The 18,518-nt window shown below is 50.1% G+C and overlaps 2 protein-coding genes and 1 long non-coding RNA gene across 4 annotated transcripts, besides 4 other annotated features; 2 read left to right on the top strand and 1 right to left on the bottom strand.

Annotated features, from left to right (window-relative positions):
• Window positions 1-2,652: 2,652 nt before the first annotated feature.
• On the bottom strand, window positions 2,653-10,874 carry LOC124901073 (uncharacterized). Of its 2 annotated transcripts, none has more exons than XR_007058945.1 (2): window positions 10,652-10,874; window positions 2,653-3,070 (listed from the first exon to the last, which is right to left on the bottom strand). It is a non-coding gene; the product is annotated as an uncharacterized LOC124901073 (long non-coding RNA). The 2 variants fall into 2 exon arrangements; XR_007058946.1 differs by lacking the exon at window positions 10,652-10,874 and adding an exon at window positions 4,683-4,918.
• Window positions 4,651-4,750: an enhancer, noted in NCBI's record as "active region_23174". NCBI's record gives its function as "activates an Ori minimal core promoter by ATAC-STARR-seq in GM12878 lymphoblastoid cells {active_cell/tissue: GM12878}" and the evidence as "EXISTENCE:reporter gene assay evidence [ECO:0000049][PMID:35858748]".
• Window positions 4,911-4,960: an enhancer, noted in NCBI's record as "active region_23173". NCBI's record gives its function as "activates an Ori minimal core promoter by ATAC-STARR-seq in GM12878 lymphoblastoid cells {active_cell/tissue: GM12878}" and the evidence as "EXISTENCE:reporter gene assay evidence [ECO:0000049][PMID:35858748]".
• Window positions 9,023-17,148, top strand: TIFAB (TIFA inhibitor). Its single transcript, NM_001099221.2, has 2 exons — window positions 9,023-9,165; window positions 11,425-17,148. Exon 2 carries the CDS (start codon window positions 11,435-11,437, stop codon window positions 11,918-11,920), a length of 486 nt encoding a protein of 161 aa, NP_001092691.1. The 5' UTR covers window positions 9,023-9,165; window positions 11,425-11,434; the 3' UTR covers window positions 11,921-17,148.
• Window positions 11,156-11,655: an enhancer, noted in NCBI's record as "H3K4me1 hESC enhancer chr5:134785409-134785908 (GRCh37/hg19 assembly coordinates)". NCBI's record gives its function as "activates a minimal SCP1, AML or CMV promoter by ChIP-STARR-seq in naive and primed H9 embryonic stem cells {active_cell/tissue: H9 hESC(naive and primed)}" and the evidence as "EXISTENCE:reporter gene assay evidence [ECO:0000049][PMID:30033119]".
• Window positions 11,656-12,157: an enhancer, noted in NCBI's record as "H3K4me1 hESC enhancer chr5:134784907-134785408 (GRCh37/hg19 assembly coordinates)". NCBI's record gives its function as "activates a minimal SCP1, AML or CMV promoter by ChIP-STARR-seq in primed H9 embryonic stem cells {active_cell/tissue: H9 hESC(primed)}" and the evidence as "EXISTENCE:reporter gene assay evidence [ECO:0000049][PMID:30033119]".
• DCANP1 (dendritic cell associated nuclear protein 1) lies at window positions 14,026-17,160 on the top strand. Its single transcript, NM_130848.3, has one exon. It carries the CDS (start codon window positions 14,266-14,268, stop codon window positions 14,998-15,000), a length of 735 nt encoding a protein of 244 aa, NP_570900.1. The 5' UTR covers window positions 14,026-14,265; the 3' UTR covers window positions 15,001-17,160.
• Window positions 17,161-18,518: the final 1,358 nt, after the last annotated feature.

Here is an 18,518-nt window from a genome sequence, read left to right as displayed (position 1 = left end):
ACCTTCACAAAGCAAGGCAGCAGACAGTGCTGGGAACAGAGTGGGGTGGCTGGAATATAGATTCATGTGTGCTTGTACTCGCATCAAGACTCTCTGGAAGGATACACAGGACACCATTACAGCAGTTACCTGTGGGGAGGAGTGTGAGAGAGACTTTCCTCTCTACTTTTTATTTTGAAAAAAAAAAAAAAAAGTGAACTATGTGAATATGTTACCTTTTCAAAATGGGATATAAAAATAAAACAAAGCTTTTCATTTTGGAAGGCTCAATCATTGAAGAGAACTAAAACATTCAGAGCATATTTTGATGTAAAAATTTTAAAAATCTCAAAAACTAAATTTCCTCCCTCTAGCCATCCCTTTCTGTGTATCCAAAGGTTGTCCATCAGCTATGCTCCAATTGCTGCTTATCTGCTTCTCCAGCTCCCAGTCCTCTCTCTCAGGGCTGTCTTCCCCACAGCAACACCCCAGCCCCATGCTGCTGTCCTTGGCTCTTGGCTTTTGTTCTGCACTCTGAGAACGTGGAGGGCTGACCATGGCACTTCTCAGTGCAGCAGTTCTGTGGAGCCGGCTCAGCAATCAGTCTCTCTCAGTGAACAAATCTGCAGCCGGGGAGCCCAACAGGGTGAGGTGCAAGCTTGAGAAGTCTTTCCAACCCTTGAAGAGTTTGCAGTTCGGCTGGGAAAAGGAGACCCTGTTGTCTTTCAATATCTATTTCCCCTTCTCCTATAATAATAGAACCCTCCTTTTGTCATTGATCACACAGCTCCCAGGCACCCTGACAGCTAGGACTAGCCATTCCCTGAGACCAGCCAACAGGATGCAAGCAGAAGTGATTGGGCAATTTCCAGGACGCATCTTCCGAAGGAAAGGATGTGCTCCACGCTTGCCCCCTGCCAGTTCCCCCTGTTTGGATGTGGGTATGGTGGGGGTGAGCCATGTGAGGCCACATGGGCAAGGGCAATGCTCTAGGGTCGGCAGCGTGGCAAGGGGGAAGGAGGCTGGGTTGCCGACACTGTGGAGCAGCCATCGGGGCCCTGGGCTGCTCACACCTGGCCTATTAGGTGACTCTTGTTCAAGCCACTGCTTGAGATCCAAGTTTTCAAAATAACAGAGAGAGGGAGAAAGAGAGAGAATATGTAGAGAGAAAAATTTAGTAAAATGAAATAATGTAATGAATCTGGAAAAGACAAAATAGTAGATTGCCACTTTGTCTCTCTTCATCCAGGTGCAGTCAGTCAATCAATACTGATCACAGTGAGGGATAGTTATTAGGTTAATGCAAATGTAATTCCGGTTTTTGCCATCGAAAATAATGGCGAAACCACAATTACATTTGCACCAACCTACTATTGACCCACTTATGCCTAGTGTTCCATTATTGGAATGCTAAGCATGTGGGAGTTATCTATATCCTACTGCTCAAGGTCATTACCAAGGTCTGATTGCAAAAATTCAAAAAATTGCAACCTCAGGCATAAATGGGTTAAGCTCTCACTCTAGCAGGCTCCATGTTCTGTGCTTTAGAAACACAATCTCATTTAATCTTTACTCTGTCGACATTTTACAGAGAAAAACTGTGGCTCCATGAGGTTAAATGACTTGCCCAATTCCCTTGGCTCATGAGAGGTGGTGCTGGGATTGGAACTCAGTCTCCCTGACCCCAGAGCCCATGATCTTGGCCACTGAGCCACACTGCCTCCCGAAGAACCCAGGTTTCAGGTTCTCTGGATGTGACATGTCCCAAGCTTACAGCTGGACACTTGACCTCCTTACTTTGATGGCCTCCTGTGTCCTGGGGGCAGTGACTGCATATTTTTTATGAGGGGCTGTGGCTGTGCCCTAAGATGTAGGACACTCAGCAGGACAGCAGAGACAGGAAAACAAACTAGGTGATGAAGGTCAACATGCCACATCATCCGGCCTCTAGGGCTTTGGAAGAGTCGGGGAGAGACTGGAGGGAGGACCCAAGAGGGCTCGGGGCTAATACAGCAGAAACCTCAAGTGCCTCTGCAACAGCCTGGGAAGAAGCAGCCTGATCCAACTCCCTGTAGTCCTCTGGGGTTGCCGGCTCTCCCACATTTCTGCTCCTTTGCTCGAGCAGGTCCCCCTCTTGGAATGTCCTCTTCTCCTTATCAACTTAGCCACTCCTACCGGTTCTTTAAGACTCAGCATTGGTATCAGCTCCTCAAGGAAGCCCTCCTCCACCCCGAGGCATGCCTTGGCAGCTCACCAGGACTCCTCCCATGGCACTTGCCCTACTGGTGCAGAGCCACCCAGGGTTGGGTGCAGAGGAAGCCAGGGTCTCTCTGGGCCTAGCCTCCTCCTTGGGAAGAGATCCAGGAGCCCCATGGGAAACACAAATAAACACACAGGAATTTGGCTTTAGAGGCATGTGGGGCAGAGTCTTGAAGCTGAAATCTGGCAAGCATCAAGCTCCTGCCTCGCTGCTGTTCTGTTCGTGGTCAGCTATTAGTCCCATGGGTTCAGAGCACATGTACACATAAGGATGGTCCAGGAGCCCCAAAACCTAGGGAGCCTGCCACCAAAGCCGCCACTCCCTGGAAGTTCCCAGCATCTCACTTCTCTACCCCAGACCCCAGGTTGCGTGGGGTCTGTCATCCACTCCAAAGTGAGGTTTCTGTCATTCACTGGATTTTAAATTCCAATTTTTATTTAATTGGTATAGGGGAATTAAAAGCAGACAATTCAGTTTTGCAAAACAAATTCACAGAAATTGCTGGAGGAATTTTCCTTTGTTTTGGCAAAATCAAGCCAGGTCGCGCTACCCATGGTGATGGCAGCTTCCTGGGGCGCATTGGAGGCTCACAGCTGTGAAGCTGGGTTGGGCTATTTTTCTTGGCACCAGAATCCCCCTTGATTTTAGGGTTCTTCTGAGGAAGCCTCCAGCTCATGATGACTATTCCAGATTCAGGAGATGGCTTGAAGGTGTTAGAAGCAGTGTGAGATGGTGGACACTCGGCATGGGCAGCACAGGCCCCTCAAGCTCCCACACAGTGGAGTTCAGTGTTCCTGTGGGTATTAGCCAGCATTGTAATGAATCGGCTTTCTGGAAAGAGTTTTAAATGAGGAGTCAATACAAAAGTCCAGAAATGCTGTGGACCCTCTGGGTTTTGTGCACCTACCATATTGGGAACGCAGAACTTTGCTGTGGGCTTTGAGTCTGTGACCCAAACTCATTAGAAACAGTGTTTGGTGGTGATGGTCTGGCCACAGCTTTACGTAGAAGCCCATGGTGGGGGAAAAAGAAACATAATAATCACATAACCCTTGCCCCCAAAATTTGTGACACCAGGAATACTTGGGAAAGCTCAGTGAGCGAGTGGCACAGAATCCAGTTCATGGGCAGGAAATGGCAGAATCCAAGCCTGGCAGGGAGCTCATGGCATAGAAGATTCATCGATCCTCTCATTAACACTTCCCTGAGATTTATACTGTTACAAACAATCCACACTGCTGAGTGGCTGCTTCCCCTGCTTCTGCTCTGACTCCTACTCTTAGCTCCATGCTCATTATGAGTGGGAGGGGCATTGGGTGTGGATTCACCTGGGGTCCATTCAGGGCATTTTGACTCAGAGAAAGGAGGACCCCTCTCCCTCCTCCAGCGCAGCCTCCTGCCATGGCTTCCCCAACCTTTCAAACTATCCTCCCTCTTGGGCCCCAAGAGAGGATCAGTGGGTTTAGGGATGCTGCCACCTGGTGGCCACAGGCTATCGGGACTCAGCGGCCAGCCACGTTAGCTTGCTAGGGCTGGAACCAGGTACTCTCCGCTGAGTGTCACTGGTGGCCAGCGGGCTGGAGCACACATTTTGAGAAGGCCAGGCAGCTGGACTCCAGAGACACCCTACCTTTGAGGCCTGAAAGCTTCATGGTTAAACCCAAGAGTCTCAGAGACTGTGTTCAAATCCTGTCTCCGAAACTTCCCAGAAGGATGACCTTGAGCAAATCAACTACCTGCTCTGAGCCCCAGCTTCCTCATTTGTGAGATGGAGAGCCTTCCTGGACGTCAAGGATACAGGTCCCAGCAATTACTTGGAGACTTCCTTTTACTTTATTATAATATAAAATGGAATTTATAGGAAACTCATGCACATTAGGAATTCAACTCTAAAGCCATGCTTATTTTAAGCAAAAACTGGAGCTGTCTGAAAACTTAGGTTTTGTGTGCGCAGTTGTTAAGTCTCCTCTGACAGCCCGTATCCCCAGGGTGCATTTTTGCTCTACCATCAAGGGTTCTACTAAGAGCAGTTCTCACTTATCAATTCTCACCGCGTGCTTGGCACTTTCCACATATCTCATTGAGTCCTCACAACAACAGCAATTTGTCCCCATTTTACAGAGCAGAAAACTGAGGTGCAGAAAGGCTGCATAACTTGCTTGAGTTGTTGCACGTAGGAGCCAAGCCTCAGACCTGAGTCCGTCTGGCTGCAGAAGCCTCACTGGTCTAATGTTGGAGAAAGCCCTGGAGGTGGGAGTTTCAGGGGTTGCCTGGGGAGGCAATTGTTCTGTCCCTGAGCCCTCCCTGAGCACATGATGGGGGACATTTGCTGACTGATGTAATATGTCCCAGGATCCCAACACCAGATGCCCAACACCCAACCAGAGGCTGTCCTAGCCAAGGGAGCCAGGCTGAGTGAAACCGGCACTTCCCCAGCTCTTACCCTTCGGGCTCTTACTCTCCCTTCGTGAGACTTCCAGCTCCCATCTGCCTCCGGAAAGCCAACAACCAGCACTGTGTATGCATACTCCTACCCACAAACCTGGGGCATTCCTCCTGGCTTCTGAAAGATGCAGACTGGGCAGGACTTCTCCTTGCCAGGGAATTCCCTGGTTGTTTCAGTTCTCTTTCTTGTTGGAAACTGCTGTGACCCAAGTTATGAAGGACACAGGCACCATGAACACATGTCCTCTCGCCAGTCACCCTCCCACGCCAGGGCTGTGAGCACGGACATAGCCCTCCCCTCATGACTCACGATTACAACAGAAGGCAGTGGGAGGAAAATAGGCCCAGGGAAGAGATAGGACTTGCCTGAGGTCACATATCTAGAGATGACAAAGCTCCCTACCAGGCTTCTGCCCACTACCTTACTCTGCTGGTGGGCAGAAATAACTGGGGATCACTGAGGTCTTGCCCAGACTGGAGCCCTGAAGATGAGGCCCTTGCCCAGGGTTTAGGGATGCTCAGCAGGCCAGGTGGTCTTTGGACCAGGGAGACTGATGAGAGGAAAGGCCCTGGAGCATGGCCAGCCACCTTCGCACAGTAGGCTCAGCCCCATCTATGTGCCTTTGCAGCCCTTGAAGTGCCTTGATGTAGCCATTTGGGTTTTCGGTCATTCATCTGTCTATCACTGCCCTGAGTAGGGGTGTGGTGCCGGCAAGAGGCCTGGGATCAAGTTTAGCTGCCTAGCCTACACATGGCTTCTCTCCCACCTTGGAGTGGCCATTCGGGTTTTTGATCATTCTAGCTACCTTGCCTGCACTTGGCTTCTCTCCTGCACAGAGCAAGCAGCAGGTCTGGCATGCTCTTAGAACTACTCCTTTAGGTTACTACTGCCTTCCATAGGTTTCTAGAGAAGGAGTCATAGCAAGTCCCCAAGAATTGTCAGGAGAGGATTTTCTCAGTGATCTGAGCTTTGCTCCCTACCCTTCCCCAGTACCAGGAAGAGCCAAGGTACAGGAGATGGGGGAAGAATACAAGAAAAGGCAATTGGAGAGATGTAAAGACCATGATGGGGCCTTCACTGAGCTTCAGTCACCTGTCTTGCTTGGTCTGCCACCAAAGATCTTGTGGTTCTGGGGGCTAGCCCTGCCCCTCACTGCCCTCCCCCCAGATCCCCCACCTCTCTGCTTAGCTTGCTATCGAGGGACCAGGAGCCACATTTGTTTCCAGACCCATATGACTGGCCCCAAGTATGACCCAGAGGGAGTATGTGGCACAGCTATCAAGCTATCTGGACCATGGAGGTGTATTGTGGCTAGGCCAGGGGACTGGAAGTCAGCTCACCTAAGTCCTCACCCAGCTGTGCTACAGATTTGCTGTGTAACCTTGGCTGGTCACTTCCCTTCGCTGAGCTTCCAGGTCAGTTATTTGAGCATCTGGCCCTGAGGATCTCAGGGTGGTCAGAAAAGGCCCAAGAGTAACCAGTGAGGCCTCCAGAGTAGCAGCCCACCGCCCGGAGAAGAGCAGACTTAGAGACCCTTAGAGGAAACAGCCTCCAAGGCCACCATGCTGAAGGGTCCCAAGTGCCTCAGCCTAGAAGAAGGCAGGAGGTGAGCTACTGGAATGGGTCAGTATCTGCCCAGGAAGAGCCAGTGCTGGAGCCCTTCTTCTCCCCTTCAATTTTACCCAACCCAGGTGCAGGCCTGGTCTGGGGCTGTCCTCATCCTCCCTACTTGGATGTCCTCCCTGTTCCACTGTGCCTTTCCAAGGCTTCTCAGCCTTCATTGTCATTGCTAATGTATTACTCCACTTCCCATCTATTAGCTTGTCACTAAGACATTATTATTCTTTTACTGATTATCCTAGAGATTATATCATGCACCTTTGACTTATTAGTGTCTACCTTAAATTGTAGTTTTATTGCATCCTGGACAATGCAAGGACCTTGGGACACTATAATTACATTTTTACCCCTCCCACTTTTGATGTTATTGTTGTCATATACTTTAATTATACATATATTCTAAATACATTTTAAAATGTCATCATCCTACTAGCAAACTAACACAGGAACAGAAAACCAAACACTACATGTTCTCACTTATAAGTGGGAGCTAAATGATGAGAACTCATGAACACAAAGAAGGAAACGACAGACACTGGGGTCTACTTGAGGGTGGGGGGTGGGAGGAGGGAGAGGAGCAGAAAAGATTACTATTGGGTACGGGGCTTAATACCTGGGTGATGAAATAATCTGTAAAACAAACCCCCATGACATAAGTTTACATATGTAACAAACCTTCACATGTACCCCTGAAACTAAAATAAGTTTCAAAAATAAAATGTCATTATTATTGTTTTTCATATGGTTAATATTCACTTTGATTTATATGAATATATCCATTTCCATTGCTCTTCATTTTCTTCTACATTTCTATGCTTTCATTTGGGATTACTTTTCTTCTGCCTGAAGAACACTAGAATTTACTTTAGAGTAGGTGTACTGTTGGCAAATTCTTCAGTTTTTGTGTGAAAATGACTTTATGTCATCTTTATTTTTGAAGGATTCTTTATCTGGGCATGGAATTCTAGGTTGGCGGTTACTTTAGAGCAAAATATCTTCAACAAACCAGGAATAAATGAAAACATCCTCAATTTGAAAAAGAACATTTGCAAAAATCCTGCAGTTAACATCATACTTACTGATAAGAAACCAGAAATTTTCCCACTAAGATCAGGAGCAAGACAAGGACATTTCCTCTCACTATTCTTTTTCAACATCGTTTAACCAAAAAGTTTTAACCAATGAAGTAAGATTAAAAAGGAAAAAAAGGTATACATATTGGGAAGGAAGAAAAAAACTGTCTTTATTTGCAGATGACGTAATTGTCCATGTAGAAAATCCAAAGGAATTGACAAAAAAGCTCCTGGAACTAGTAAGTGATTAACGGACGATTGCAGGATACAAGATTAATACATAAAATCAATTACTTTCCTATATGCCAGCAATGAACAAGTGGAATTTGAAATAAAAAACACAATGCCATTTCCATTAATATTCAAAAAAGAAATATTTCTGTATAAATCTAACAAAACATATACAAGATCTATATGAGGAAACCCATGAAACTATGATGAAGGAAATCAAAGAACTGAACAAATAGAGAGATATCCCATGTCCATGAATAGGAAGATTCAATACTGTCAGGATGTCAGTTCTTCCCTCCTTTATTGATAGATTTGATGAAGTCTCGTCAAAATCCCAGCGAGTTATTTTGTGGCTATTAACAAACTGATTCTAACATTTATATAGACAGACAACTCAAAAGAGCCAAGACAAAATTGAAAGAGAAGAACAGAATTGAAGGACTGGCAGTACCCAACTTCAAGACTTACTACAGAGCTGCAGCAATCAAGACAGTAAGGTATTGGTGAAAAAATAGACAAATAGATCAATGATACAAAGTAGAGAGCCCAGAAATAAACCCACATGAATACAGTCAACCAATCTTTGACAAAGGAGTAAAGAGAAAACACTGAAGGAAAAAAAACATGGTCATTTCGGAAAATGGTGCTGAGACAACTGAACACCTATAAGCCAAAAAAAAAAAAAATCTAGACACAAACCTTACACATGTCAGAAAAATTAAAATGTACGTATAGAACTATAAAACTCCTAGGAGATAACGCAGGTGACTTGAACACACTGGTGGACTATGAAATGCTGGGCTACGTGAAGGGTTAGCACCTTCACATTCCAGGGCAGCCAGAGCCCGCAGTGCTGGACAAGCGACCATCTTCACCCCTTCCAAACTGCATGCAAATAGGCAGAGCTCGGGCGATGGGGAGTGGGCATGAGAGACCACCTTCTCACTGTTCTGCAGGAGAGATCATGTTCTATGAGTGGCCATTTACTGCCCTCTCCATCCTCCCCGTCCCCAGGCCCTGCCCTCTCCTGAGACCCTCAGGGAAGTGCCATGTTGCCTACAGTTTCCTTGGCCAACCTCTATCCAGCCAGAACGCTCTCCTCATTCTCCCACACTCAGGGGACTCTCCTGTCCCGTAGCCATCTGTCCCAAAAAGCTCTTCTTTTCTAACATGCCTGGGCTGCTTTGACCCCATCCTACTGGCAGGTGGAGAGGAACTTTGCAGATACCCTGGGTGCAGGTCCTAAGGTCCCTGGGGGTGGGGTAGGAGAGGCTGGCAGAACTGAAACCCAGGAAGGCAGGCCATCTGTCTCAGAAGGGGCCCCACGCTGGGGTTTCTCAAACTCTCAGCAGTGGAATTGCACTTCTGCAATGAAAAATTACACTTCTATTTTCTTTCCTAAAGGGAAAAAGGAAGAATGCAACAAAACTGAAGTATGTTCTGCCACGTTCCTGAACTGCAGCCATAGGAGCCCTCCCAGCCCTACCCAAACCAGCCTACTCCCTCTCAAGAGCTCACAGCTGCAGGACTAGAGCCAGATGTGCCCCGGCAATAAGGTAAGTTGAAGCCAGAGGGGCTTGAACCCATGGGGAGAAGGGAGGGCCTGGTGGGGCTGGGAGGAGGGCTCCCCTGAGACACACATTCTGGAGTGTCTTCCTCCTGCCCCGTCCCAAAGGCTGGATTTGTAGGGCTGGGTTTCTGTTTCCCCAGAACACCTGGGATCCAAAAGACACGGGACAGCCTGTCGTGGATGGGCTCCTCTTTAGTGGGAGATTTCTGTTAGCTCTGGTTGGAGCAGAGAGTAAGGCCACACAGCAACTGTGAATCTTTCTTCCTGAGGGATTCTTTCAGGGTCTCTGTGCCGTGATATTAGTTTCTGGGAGTGAACTCTTGAGTTTCCAGCCAGGCCTGACAGCATGGGTTGCCCAGCCCACCTGTCCTGGGCTCAGCCTGTAACGCATACCTCGAGAAAAGGCTTTCTGGCTGGGCGTGGTGGCTTACGCCTGTAATCCCAGCACTTTGGAAGGTCGGGGCGGGCGGATCACCTAAAGTCAGGAGTTCGAGACCAGCCTGGCCAACATGGCGAAACCCCGTCTCTACTGAAAATACAAAAATTAGCTGGGCATGGTGGCGGGCACCTGTAATCCCAGCTACTGGGGAGGCTGAGGCAGGAGAATCCCTTGAACCTGGAAGACGGAGGCTACCATGAGCCAAGATCATGCCGCTATACTCCAGCCTGGGTGACAGTGTGAGACTCCATCTCAGAAAAAAAAAAAAAAGAAAAAAAAGAAAGGCTTTCGGCAGACTATGGCCAGATGGGGTGTGGGTAGAGGCATATGTGTGTCTGTGCCTTAGGGGAAAGGGGGTGCCCTCAGGCCTCTGATAGTGAAAGGGTGCCCTCACTATCAGACTAAAAGGTCTCAGCCATTAACCTACTGCATCTAAAAGGCAGGAGGGGCAGCAGGTTCAAGACCTGGAGGGACATTGAGTTCAAGCCACCTGCAACAGGCTCGCTGTCCCACAGCCTTTGAGACATGATCCCATTTGTGGTCTCTCTGGGTGATTTCACCATGTGTGTGTGTGGGCTTCTCATTTAGCCACTCGGCAAATGTGCCCCTGGACATTTATGGTGGCCAGGCCCTATTTGTATGGGGCAGTGGAACATGGGGCAGCAAGAACCACAGCCCAGACCATACCCAGCCCTTGGGAGGCCTCAGGGGCAGGAAGAGAGGAACTCAGGGAAGACAGGACAAGGGCCCACAGAACTTGGGCATGAAATGCAAAGATGGAATGAATGGAGAGTAAGGTTGGCCAGGTGTCCTGGGGGATTCCCCCTGTTGTGGGAGTCAGAAGGCAGCGAAAGGTCACCTTCCCCAGGGAAGGGAGCTTCACAGGAGAGGTAACACTTGAACAGGGCCTTGAACCGTGGGCAGTATTTGGACACAGAGTTTGGGATGGAAGATGCATTCTTAGGAGAGAAATAATGTGAGCAAAAGCCTGGTACCCAGAGAATGTATAATTAGTTATTCAAATCCACTCAACCCTTGGTTCCTGTTGAAGATGATGGCAGGTCCTGGGCCACAGGGTGCTGGTGGACATAGCAGAGTTTGTGTTCCTCAAACCCATGCAGGAACAAAGCTGGCCATTGTGAGTGGCCTTCCAGCAAGTGCCCATAGTAACCACTCGGAATGTGCTAGCTGTTTACTCTTCACCAGGGTTTCTAGGCAGCCTTTCTGGTGGCCAGGACTAGGCTAAGCATCCTCCTTCTGTGTCCTTCCACACATCCTGATGCTAGAAACACCTCTCTCCTCCACCAGTGGGTGCTCCCAAGAGTCAGGGCTCGGTTCGTTGTTGAATCTGCTTCTCCCCAGCAGCTGGTTCCCTGCTTGGCTCAAAGGAGGATTCAGCAAGGGTTTGTTGTGTGACTGTCAGATACAAGGAAAATGTAGCCAGTCTGTCTACCCTTTCCTTTCCAAGAAGCAGGGCCAAGTTGTCTCCAAATAACCAAAAGATTACCAAATCCCCACCCTGCAAGCCAGCATGCCTTATCCCTTGCATAGACAAGGACAGATATATCTATACTACAGAAATCCAAAAGTCAGACAGAGTGGGTGGCATGTTCTATTCAGAGTATGAGAGAGACTAAGCTCATGACCTTCCACACCAATTCCAGCCTTGGCTCCATCCTGGCTTGGGCAGAGTGATTGTATGAACAGGCACAGGGCCCCTGAGGTGGGCAAGTGTGTCTGGGCTCAGGGAGCCACAGAGGTCTCTGACTGAAGCTGAGCCTGTGTGTCCATGTTCCAACTTCCCAGGACTTCTTCCATGGAGAAGCCCCTCACCGTCCTGCGAGTGAGCCTGTACCATCCCACGCTGGGCCCATCTGCCTTTGCCAATGTCCCACCACGGCTGCAGCATGATACCAGCCCTCTGCTTCTCGGACGGGGGCAGGACGCCCACCTCCAGCTGCAGCTCCCTCGCCTCTCCCGCCGTCACCTGTCCCTGGAGCCCTACCTGGAGAAAGGCAGTGCCCTGCTGGCCTTCTGCCTCAAGGCCCTGAGCCGCAAGGGCTGTGTGTGGGTCAATGGGCTGACGCTGAGGTACCTGGAGCAGGTCCCCCTGAGCACCGTCAACAGGGTCTCCTTCTCAGGCATCCAGATGCTGGTTCGCGTAGAAGAAGGCACATCCCTGGAGGCTTTTGTCTGCTATTTCCATGTCAGCCCTTCACCCCTGATTTACAGACCTGAGGCTGAGGAAACTGACGAATGGGAAGGCATCTCCCAGGGGCAGCCTCCCCCTGGTTCAGGGTAGCAGATCCAGGTTGCCTGGGGTTTCTCCACGGCCCTTCCCAGACTTGGGACAGCCCTCTCCAGCCAAGACCTGGAGGAGGAACAGAAATACAGCTCCAGAGGGAACCCCCAGACAGTGCACTCTGCTAGCCCTGCCACTAGAGCAAGCCTTTGCTAGATGAAACAGGATTTGAAATACTTGAGCTGCATCATGCAAGGTTGACAAGCAAAACCCACTGGCTGCCTTGCTCATAATGAACCAATTCTGCAAACACCGAACAAACAGCCCAGGGGGGAGAAGCACCCTCTGTGGCCAGAGCTATGCAATGTAATGGGAACATCATATACTTTTAGAGGCCCTGAGGGGTTCTGGGGAGCCTCTCTCAGCATTTCCACACATTTCTCCCTGTTGTCTGACTAGGAGTTACTTTATGTGGTTCATTTTGTGTGCTGCTTAAGAGCAGGAGTTTGAGGTTGCACCAGGAATGCGTGGACACATGTAACAATTACATTTGTGGTAGCTTGGGGTTACCTTCAGCTTTCAAATACCCACAGGCACGCGGGGCTTAGGAAAGCCTGAGTGTAATAAACTGCAAGTATTTCATTAAGCTGGCATACCCAATAGGATTCCCTGATCCCCAGATGGGCCACATGCACGCCACGCTGTCATGCAGACGTGGGGGTGGGAAATATAGACGAGGTGTAAGAGGAAATTGGAAAGGTGGGACTCACATTTCTGGAAAGGATGCAGGCAGGGCTCAGGGTTTCCTGAGGATGGGAGCTGGGAGCTGGGCCTGCCTGGAAATTCATTGTCCCCCTTATCATCCTCATCCTCACACTCCGCATTCTCTGTCACTTCTGGATCAAGGCCTTGGTTGACTTGAGGGCAAGGTCTTTAGGGAATGAGGGGATGGGGTGGGGGTTTGTGTAAGAACTCAGCCCAGCAGTTATTTCGCTCAGGGTGAGTCACACACCAATGGGGGTGGGGGAATTCCTTCCAAATAAGGGACTCGTTAGGAGCCAGGTACGCCAAGGGCAGGAGGATTTTCTCGGTGAACAAGGGCAGCAGCTATTTGCCACGCCATGCTGAGAAGGGGAGAGTGTGGTTTAGAAACAACGTTCACTAGTGTGATGCAGGGAGGGATCTACATGGTCACCATGATCCCAGACCCCACTCTCCAGGGAATCTGAGGCACCAAGGGCACAGCCCTGTTCCCCTGGCTGACTCGAATCTCTGGGTCTGTAGCTGTCAACAATTTCTGTTTTCTGCCCAAAAGGATGATCGTTTTGCACCCAGGGCAAGCTACAAGGAGGTCCAACTTCACTCACAGGCCCTGAGCATCTTCTCCATCAGGAAAACAGAGGTGGGCAAGACCCAGGCTTGCCCTGGTGTGGGAAGCTTCCTCTCCAATAGGGATGAAGCAAAAACACTCAGATCACAGCCACAAGGCAGGGAGAGCAGGGCTGCTAGGAAGGGGCTCTCTGATGCTGTGAATGACCCCTTGGGACCCCCAAAGCAGTTCCTCATTCATTCAGCAAACCTTCACCAAGCACCCACCTTGTGCCAGATCTGTGCAAAGCCACGGAACTGAACCAGAAGTGAATAAGGCAAACTCCCTCAGGGAGTTTACCTTGCACTCAGGAAAGTCAAGCATTCAGGAGTGCATTACTTATTTGATCACTACTATGATTAGTGCTATAGTCATTGTATTTTTCTCTCTCCTCCAGCTGGGCTCACATTCTCTTGTTAAGTGGCCTTGCCTGTTGAGTGCCTACCATGTGCTTAGCACTCTGCTAGGTGCTGTGTGTATTAACTGCACTTAACAGATAAGGAAACTGAGACTTGGAAAGGTTACATATCTTGCCCAACATCACACCATCAGTAGCTATGCGATTTGGGCAAGTGATTTAGTCTGCTCTTGCCTCTATTTCTCCCGCTGGAAAATGGGTAAGATAATAGTACTACCTGCTAGAGTTACGAGGGTCTTAGAAGGTGACACCTGTAAAGCATTCAATCAGTGCCCAGCACACACTTAATAAGGGTTAGCTACTATCATGAGACCTGAGAGAGGAGGGCTCACCATCCACACGGAGCTAAGGAAGACTCACACCCCAGTAAGCTGGCTCCAGAACCCAAGGGCTTACCTGTGCTCTGTGATTCCCCAACTAGGGATTTAGTTGTAGCCACGGACCTGGTAGGCAACAGGGAGGGGATTTTAATCTGCTCCTTGCATCAGAAGGTCCAATAGGCAGGGTTAGTATAATGGGAGATGCCCTGGTAGGGCTGGCAAGGAGAAGAAGCCACATGTATTTTGGTCTGATGAAAAGCAGCAGTGATCTGTCACTGACCAAAATGGTCCCCCAACTATGCATTACGGAGCAGCAACCCACATACAGAACTCGAGAAGCCACGGCCTGGAGACTGTACCTGGACACCAAAGACTGGAGAGAGGAGCTGGTGGGGAAACCCCAGAGTTCCCAGGGTGCCACTCCCCAGCTCCACCAGAGAACTTTGGGAATGAGCTGCTGCCCCTGAGTGCCCCTCTCCAGGGCCTCAGTGAGGGTCTCTACCCTCCAGGGAGGAACAAAACCTTGCCAGCTGGGGTCCTGCGAGAGGGGGCAGTTCAATTCCTCCACAGGGGACTCTGCAACTCCAATCTTTCGAGTGAAGCATCTGCGAGGCCCTCAGGGACCCAGGATGAACTGCATAGCAGCAGAAGGAAGACAGGCCAGACCAGGCGGGAGGGAGCCCGGAAACATCTGGTTTGTAGTTTCAGACTCTACCCGTTCACAGTTCACACAGTCTCACCGGGAAACTCACACCTTGCCCTGTACCAAGTTTTTAAGGCAGTTAAGCTCTGCCCATCCGAGACTTCATTTTTCTTGAGTAGAAAATCACTGAAATCATCAGATCCATGGCACCCACCTTCACTTTCTCCTAACAGCTGGAACCGTCAGGCTGGCTTCAGGGCCTGGTCTTCGCACTTGATATCACTATCCCTCACCTGCTCAGACAGCCAGAGCAGGCGGGTGAGTTCCTCCCAACAACCTCCACTGCATTCTCTCAGCTCCCACCGCAGGGCAGCCCACGTGCCTGAGTGAACATGTGTGCGTGTGCACACACGCAAGTATGCACAGACATACACTAAACACGAACATACAGTGCACATGAACGCTGCTCCCAGCTAGGGCCCTCTGGTCAGACTGCTGCCTGGGTTAGAATTCTTGTCCCCACCCCCACTTACTATAGTTCTGTGATCCTGGACAAGTAACTGAATCTCTCCGTGCCACAGTTTCTTCTTGTAGAAAACGGGAAAGTTCACAGTACTTACCTCCTTAGAGTCATTGTGAAGGTCAGTTTGAGGCATCACAAATTTAAGGCACCCAGACATAAGGGTCAACAGGGTTAGCTATCACTGTCCAGTTTGGTGGGAGGAACTGAATGCATGTAGGCACATGGACCCAGTCTACACTCAGGCACAAAAGGAGCTACATTAGTTACATTCAGGCATACCCCAGAGCACTACAATTCTCTGAGACATTGTCTGGAAATCTAGAAATCATCTCCTTGCCCTTTAAGGTATTTTAACCCTCGCATTCCTCTGCTTTTCCAAGAATGTGAATCTTGCCAAGCTGTCCGTGAGAGACACGGGCTCCCCTCGAGGGAGACTTGCAAATGCTCCATAAACAGCCACAGTGTGGGGCTCTGCCATGAGGAAGTCACAGCAGACACGCTAGACAGCATAGTCCTGGATGCAACCTGGAGGAAGGGAGGCCCATGGTGGAGCACTCACTCCGTGCCTGTCTGCCCGGTGAGACCTCAAGTTCCTTGCAGACAAAGGCCATGGGTTGTTGGCTCTTGTGTTCCCGGTGGCCTTTCCAGAGCTGAACAGAGGACAGATGCACAGACGGGGGGGCTCTGGTGGTCAAGGCAGCAGTCCCCTTGGATACTAAAGTCTGAGCCAGGCCCCTCAGGCCCGGCATGGGCAGTGCGAGGCCCATAGTGGTGGGAAGCCAGTTGGCCAGCTGGGGTGAGAAGGCCGCGAAGCCATGGGCAGACAGGAAGTGGAGGTGAATGTCTCTGCCTCCTGTAGGCCTCAGCAGGGACAGCACAGACCCTCTGGCTGGGGCAGCGCAGACCCTCTAGCTGGGGCAGAACAAGGCTGGTGCTTCCTTCTAGTCCTTGAGACTTTGTAGCTCTAACTCAAGCAGAACCCTGGGGTTTTGGGATTCTGTGTGGTGACTGCTGAGGAAGGTTTATGGATTTGACAGGGTGCATGTCACAGAGAGACAGTTCTCAGTCAGCACTTCCTGTCCCCTGCAGAGGCTCATAGGGGACAGCCCCTGCCAAGGAGACCCTGGAGGGGCTCTGAGGATAGCAATCAGAGGTTGGGCTGGCTGGACTGAGCCCAGGCCTGTTGCCCACCAAGTCTCCATAGGTTCTAGTCTGACCCCTCTCTCCACCCCTGGGCTATGCAGGCCAGCCCGTGCAGACCACCCCCGACGCGTCCACTTGCAACACCCGCCTCACTGTGCCAACACTCCATCCACACAGGAAAGGACTGAGAACGTGATGCTTAACCCAAAGGAGTGAGTTTCATAGGATGGGTGGCTTTAACAGTTTCACAGCAGGACACTGAGGGAATATTTCCCTATCCCTTCAAATGGACGGTCACTACAGAAACGTGTAGAGCAAGACTTTGTCAAGGGGCTGTTTCCAGGTCTCCCGGTGTCTAAATAGCAGAGCTGGAATGGGAACTGAGAACCGATTCTTTCCACAACCGCCCACTGAGCAGCAAGGCTGCAGCCAGCAAAGAGGTGCGGAGGCAAGCAAGCTCCATGTGGTGGGGACAGCGCATTGCGACCTCCACCACCCCTGCAGTGGGCTGCCAGCTGAGCCACCTGTCTTCCACTGTATCTACTGTACGAACTTCTCCAGCTCTGCTCTGTTTTCTCTTCCTCAGCATCCACCCCGTGACACGTAGTGGTGGCTGATGTCGCCACAGTACCATGAGGTTAACAGGTCCTCCCTCCAGCTTCCCTCATGGTGGCAGCCTAACCTGCATTGCAGCCGTTCACCGGACACCGCACCAGACCCTCAAAACCCATCCAAGACTGTGGGAGGAGTAAACAACCCAGCCCAGTTAAGAGGAGATGCCGAATTTAATGAACCCTATTTGAATTGCAGGGCTGTGATTCCTCTTACCTTTAACGTGAACTCACAGGCGGATTAAAGTGAAATAAAACCTACCATTTGAGTTACATTCTCAGCTGATTGGAAACATGCATTGCCTCCCCATGACCGGGCCGTGAGAAGGGAAGTTATTATCTTTCTTTAGAGTTTGTAAACTCTTTATGGCTGAGGCAGCTTTAATCCTGCTGGGGAAAAAAAAGGATCCGGGAATCAATTGCTCCTATTTACCTTTGTTTTCCAATCACATGCTCCAGTGGGAATAAAACATCCTAAGTGAGGGGATGTGGGGAGCCAGGTGATCCCTGACAGAAGAGTTTGATTATTTTCTTCTCTAGGCATGTGAATTGAAGGAACTTTAGAGTTCTATTTGGCAAGGGGTCTCATTTCACAAAAATGTGCACCCCAGTAAGGATATCAGCACTCCTGGGCCATTACTGGTTCCTCTGCCTTTTCTTTCCAGAGGAAATGCCCTCCATTCCCCAACCATGCCCACTTCTTTAAGGGGTGCTGGCAGCAAAGGGCCCAGCTCCAGGCATTTGGCCAGGAAGGAGTCCGAGTACAGGCAGATTTGAATCCAAATCAAATCAGTCCAGGAATGAGGAGAAAACCTGTGGAGACTGGGGCTGTGGAGGAGGCTCTAGGCTCTCTTTCCCCCTCTCCCGTTTCTCTGACCCTCCCTGTGTGTTACCTGACAACACAGTTCACATGCAGCAGGTCCCAAGTAAGGCCGGCAGGAGGGCCCAGGCTCTGAGCCAAGCACTCTAACTGCTGGAAGGGGGCCTGGCTGCGATGTTTGCCTTGCTTTCCTTTAAAGATGTGGAGGCAGGGGATAGAGGTGGGAGTTTTCAGAATAAGGCAGAGGCATAGGCCTTTGGAGCGAGAGCACAGCCAGGCAGCCAGACACGAGGTTTCCATAATTGCTTCTCTGAGGGATCAGGGGCTGTCATGATGTCATTTGCTCAGAGGGCTTGCTACAGATGGGCTGAACATGGACCCTATTAAGTCACCTTGTTCAGTGGGAGGCCTATCATTCAGGATCCAGTCAGAAATACAAAAGCCAGTCTAAGTATGCAAAAAATGTAATTCAGGGAATTGGGTAGGGAATCACTGAGAAGCCAAATAGGGAATGTAATTCAGAGATTAACAGAGATTGTTCCCACTGCTGGCTCCAGGCTGGAGCGCAACTGAGAGGGGGTGTTACTGGAGTCACAGTGGGGAATGTCCAGCCCAGGGCTAGAATACCATGGAGGCCCCCTATGGTAGCTGGGACCTAGAGGGAGAGGAGCCACAGAGGAGAGGCAGCTGCCGCCAGCAGCTGATGAGGTGATTCCACTTGACAGGCTGACAGAGGAATGAATACGTTGGCTTCTCTCCTTCTTTGGCCCCCCAAACCCCATTGGCTGAAGCCAGCCAGAGGAAAGCTGAC

Source organism: Homo sapiens, chromosome 5 (genome assembly GCF_000001405.40).
Source record: "Homo sapiens chromosome 5, GRCh38.p14 Primary Assembly".
NCBI classification, from domain to species: domain Eukaryota; kingdom Metazoa; phylum Chordata; class Mammalia; order Primates; family Hominidae; genus Homo; species Homo sapiens.
The sequence above is the reverse complement of the archived record's forward strand: the minus strand, read 5'-3'. Positions and strand labels throughout refer to the sequence as shown.

What these genes read in the sequence shown, in the direction of transcription:
- TIFAB (NM_001099221.2), top strand. Translation starts at nt 11,435, where the DNA reads ATGGAGAAGCCCCTCACCGTCCTGCGAGTGAGCCTGTACCATCCCACG.
- DCANP1 (NM_130848.3), top strand. Translation starts at nt 14,266, where the DNA reads ATGCATTACGGAGCAGCAACCCACATACAGAACTCGAGAAGCCACGGC.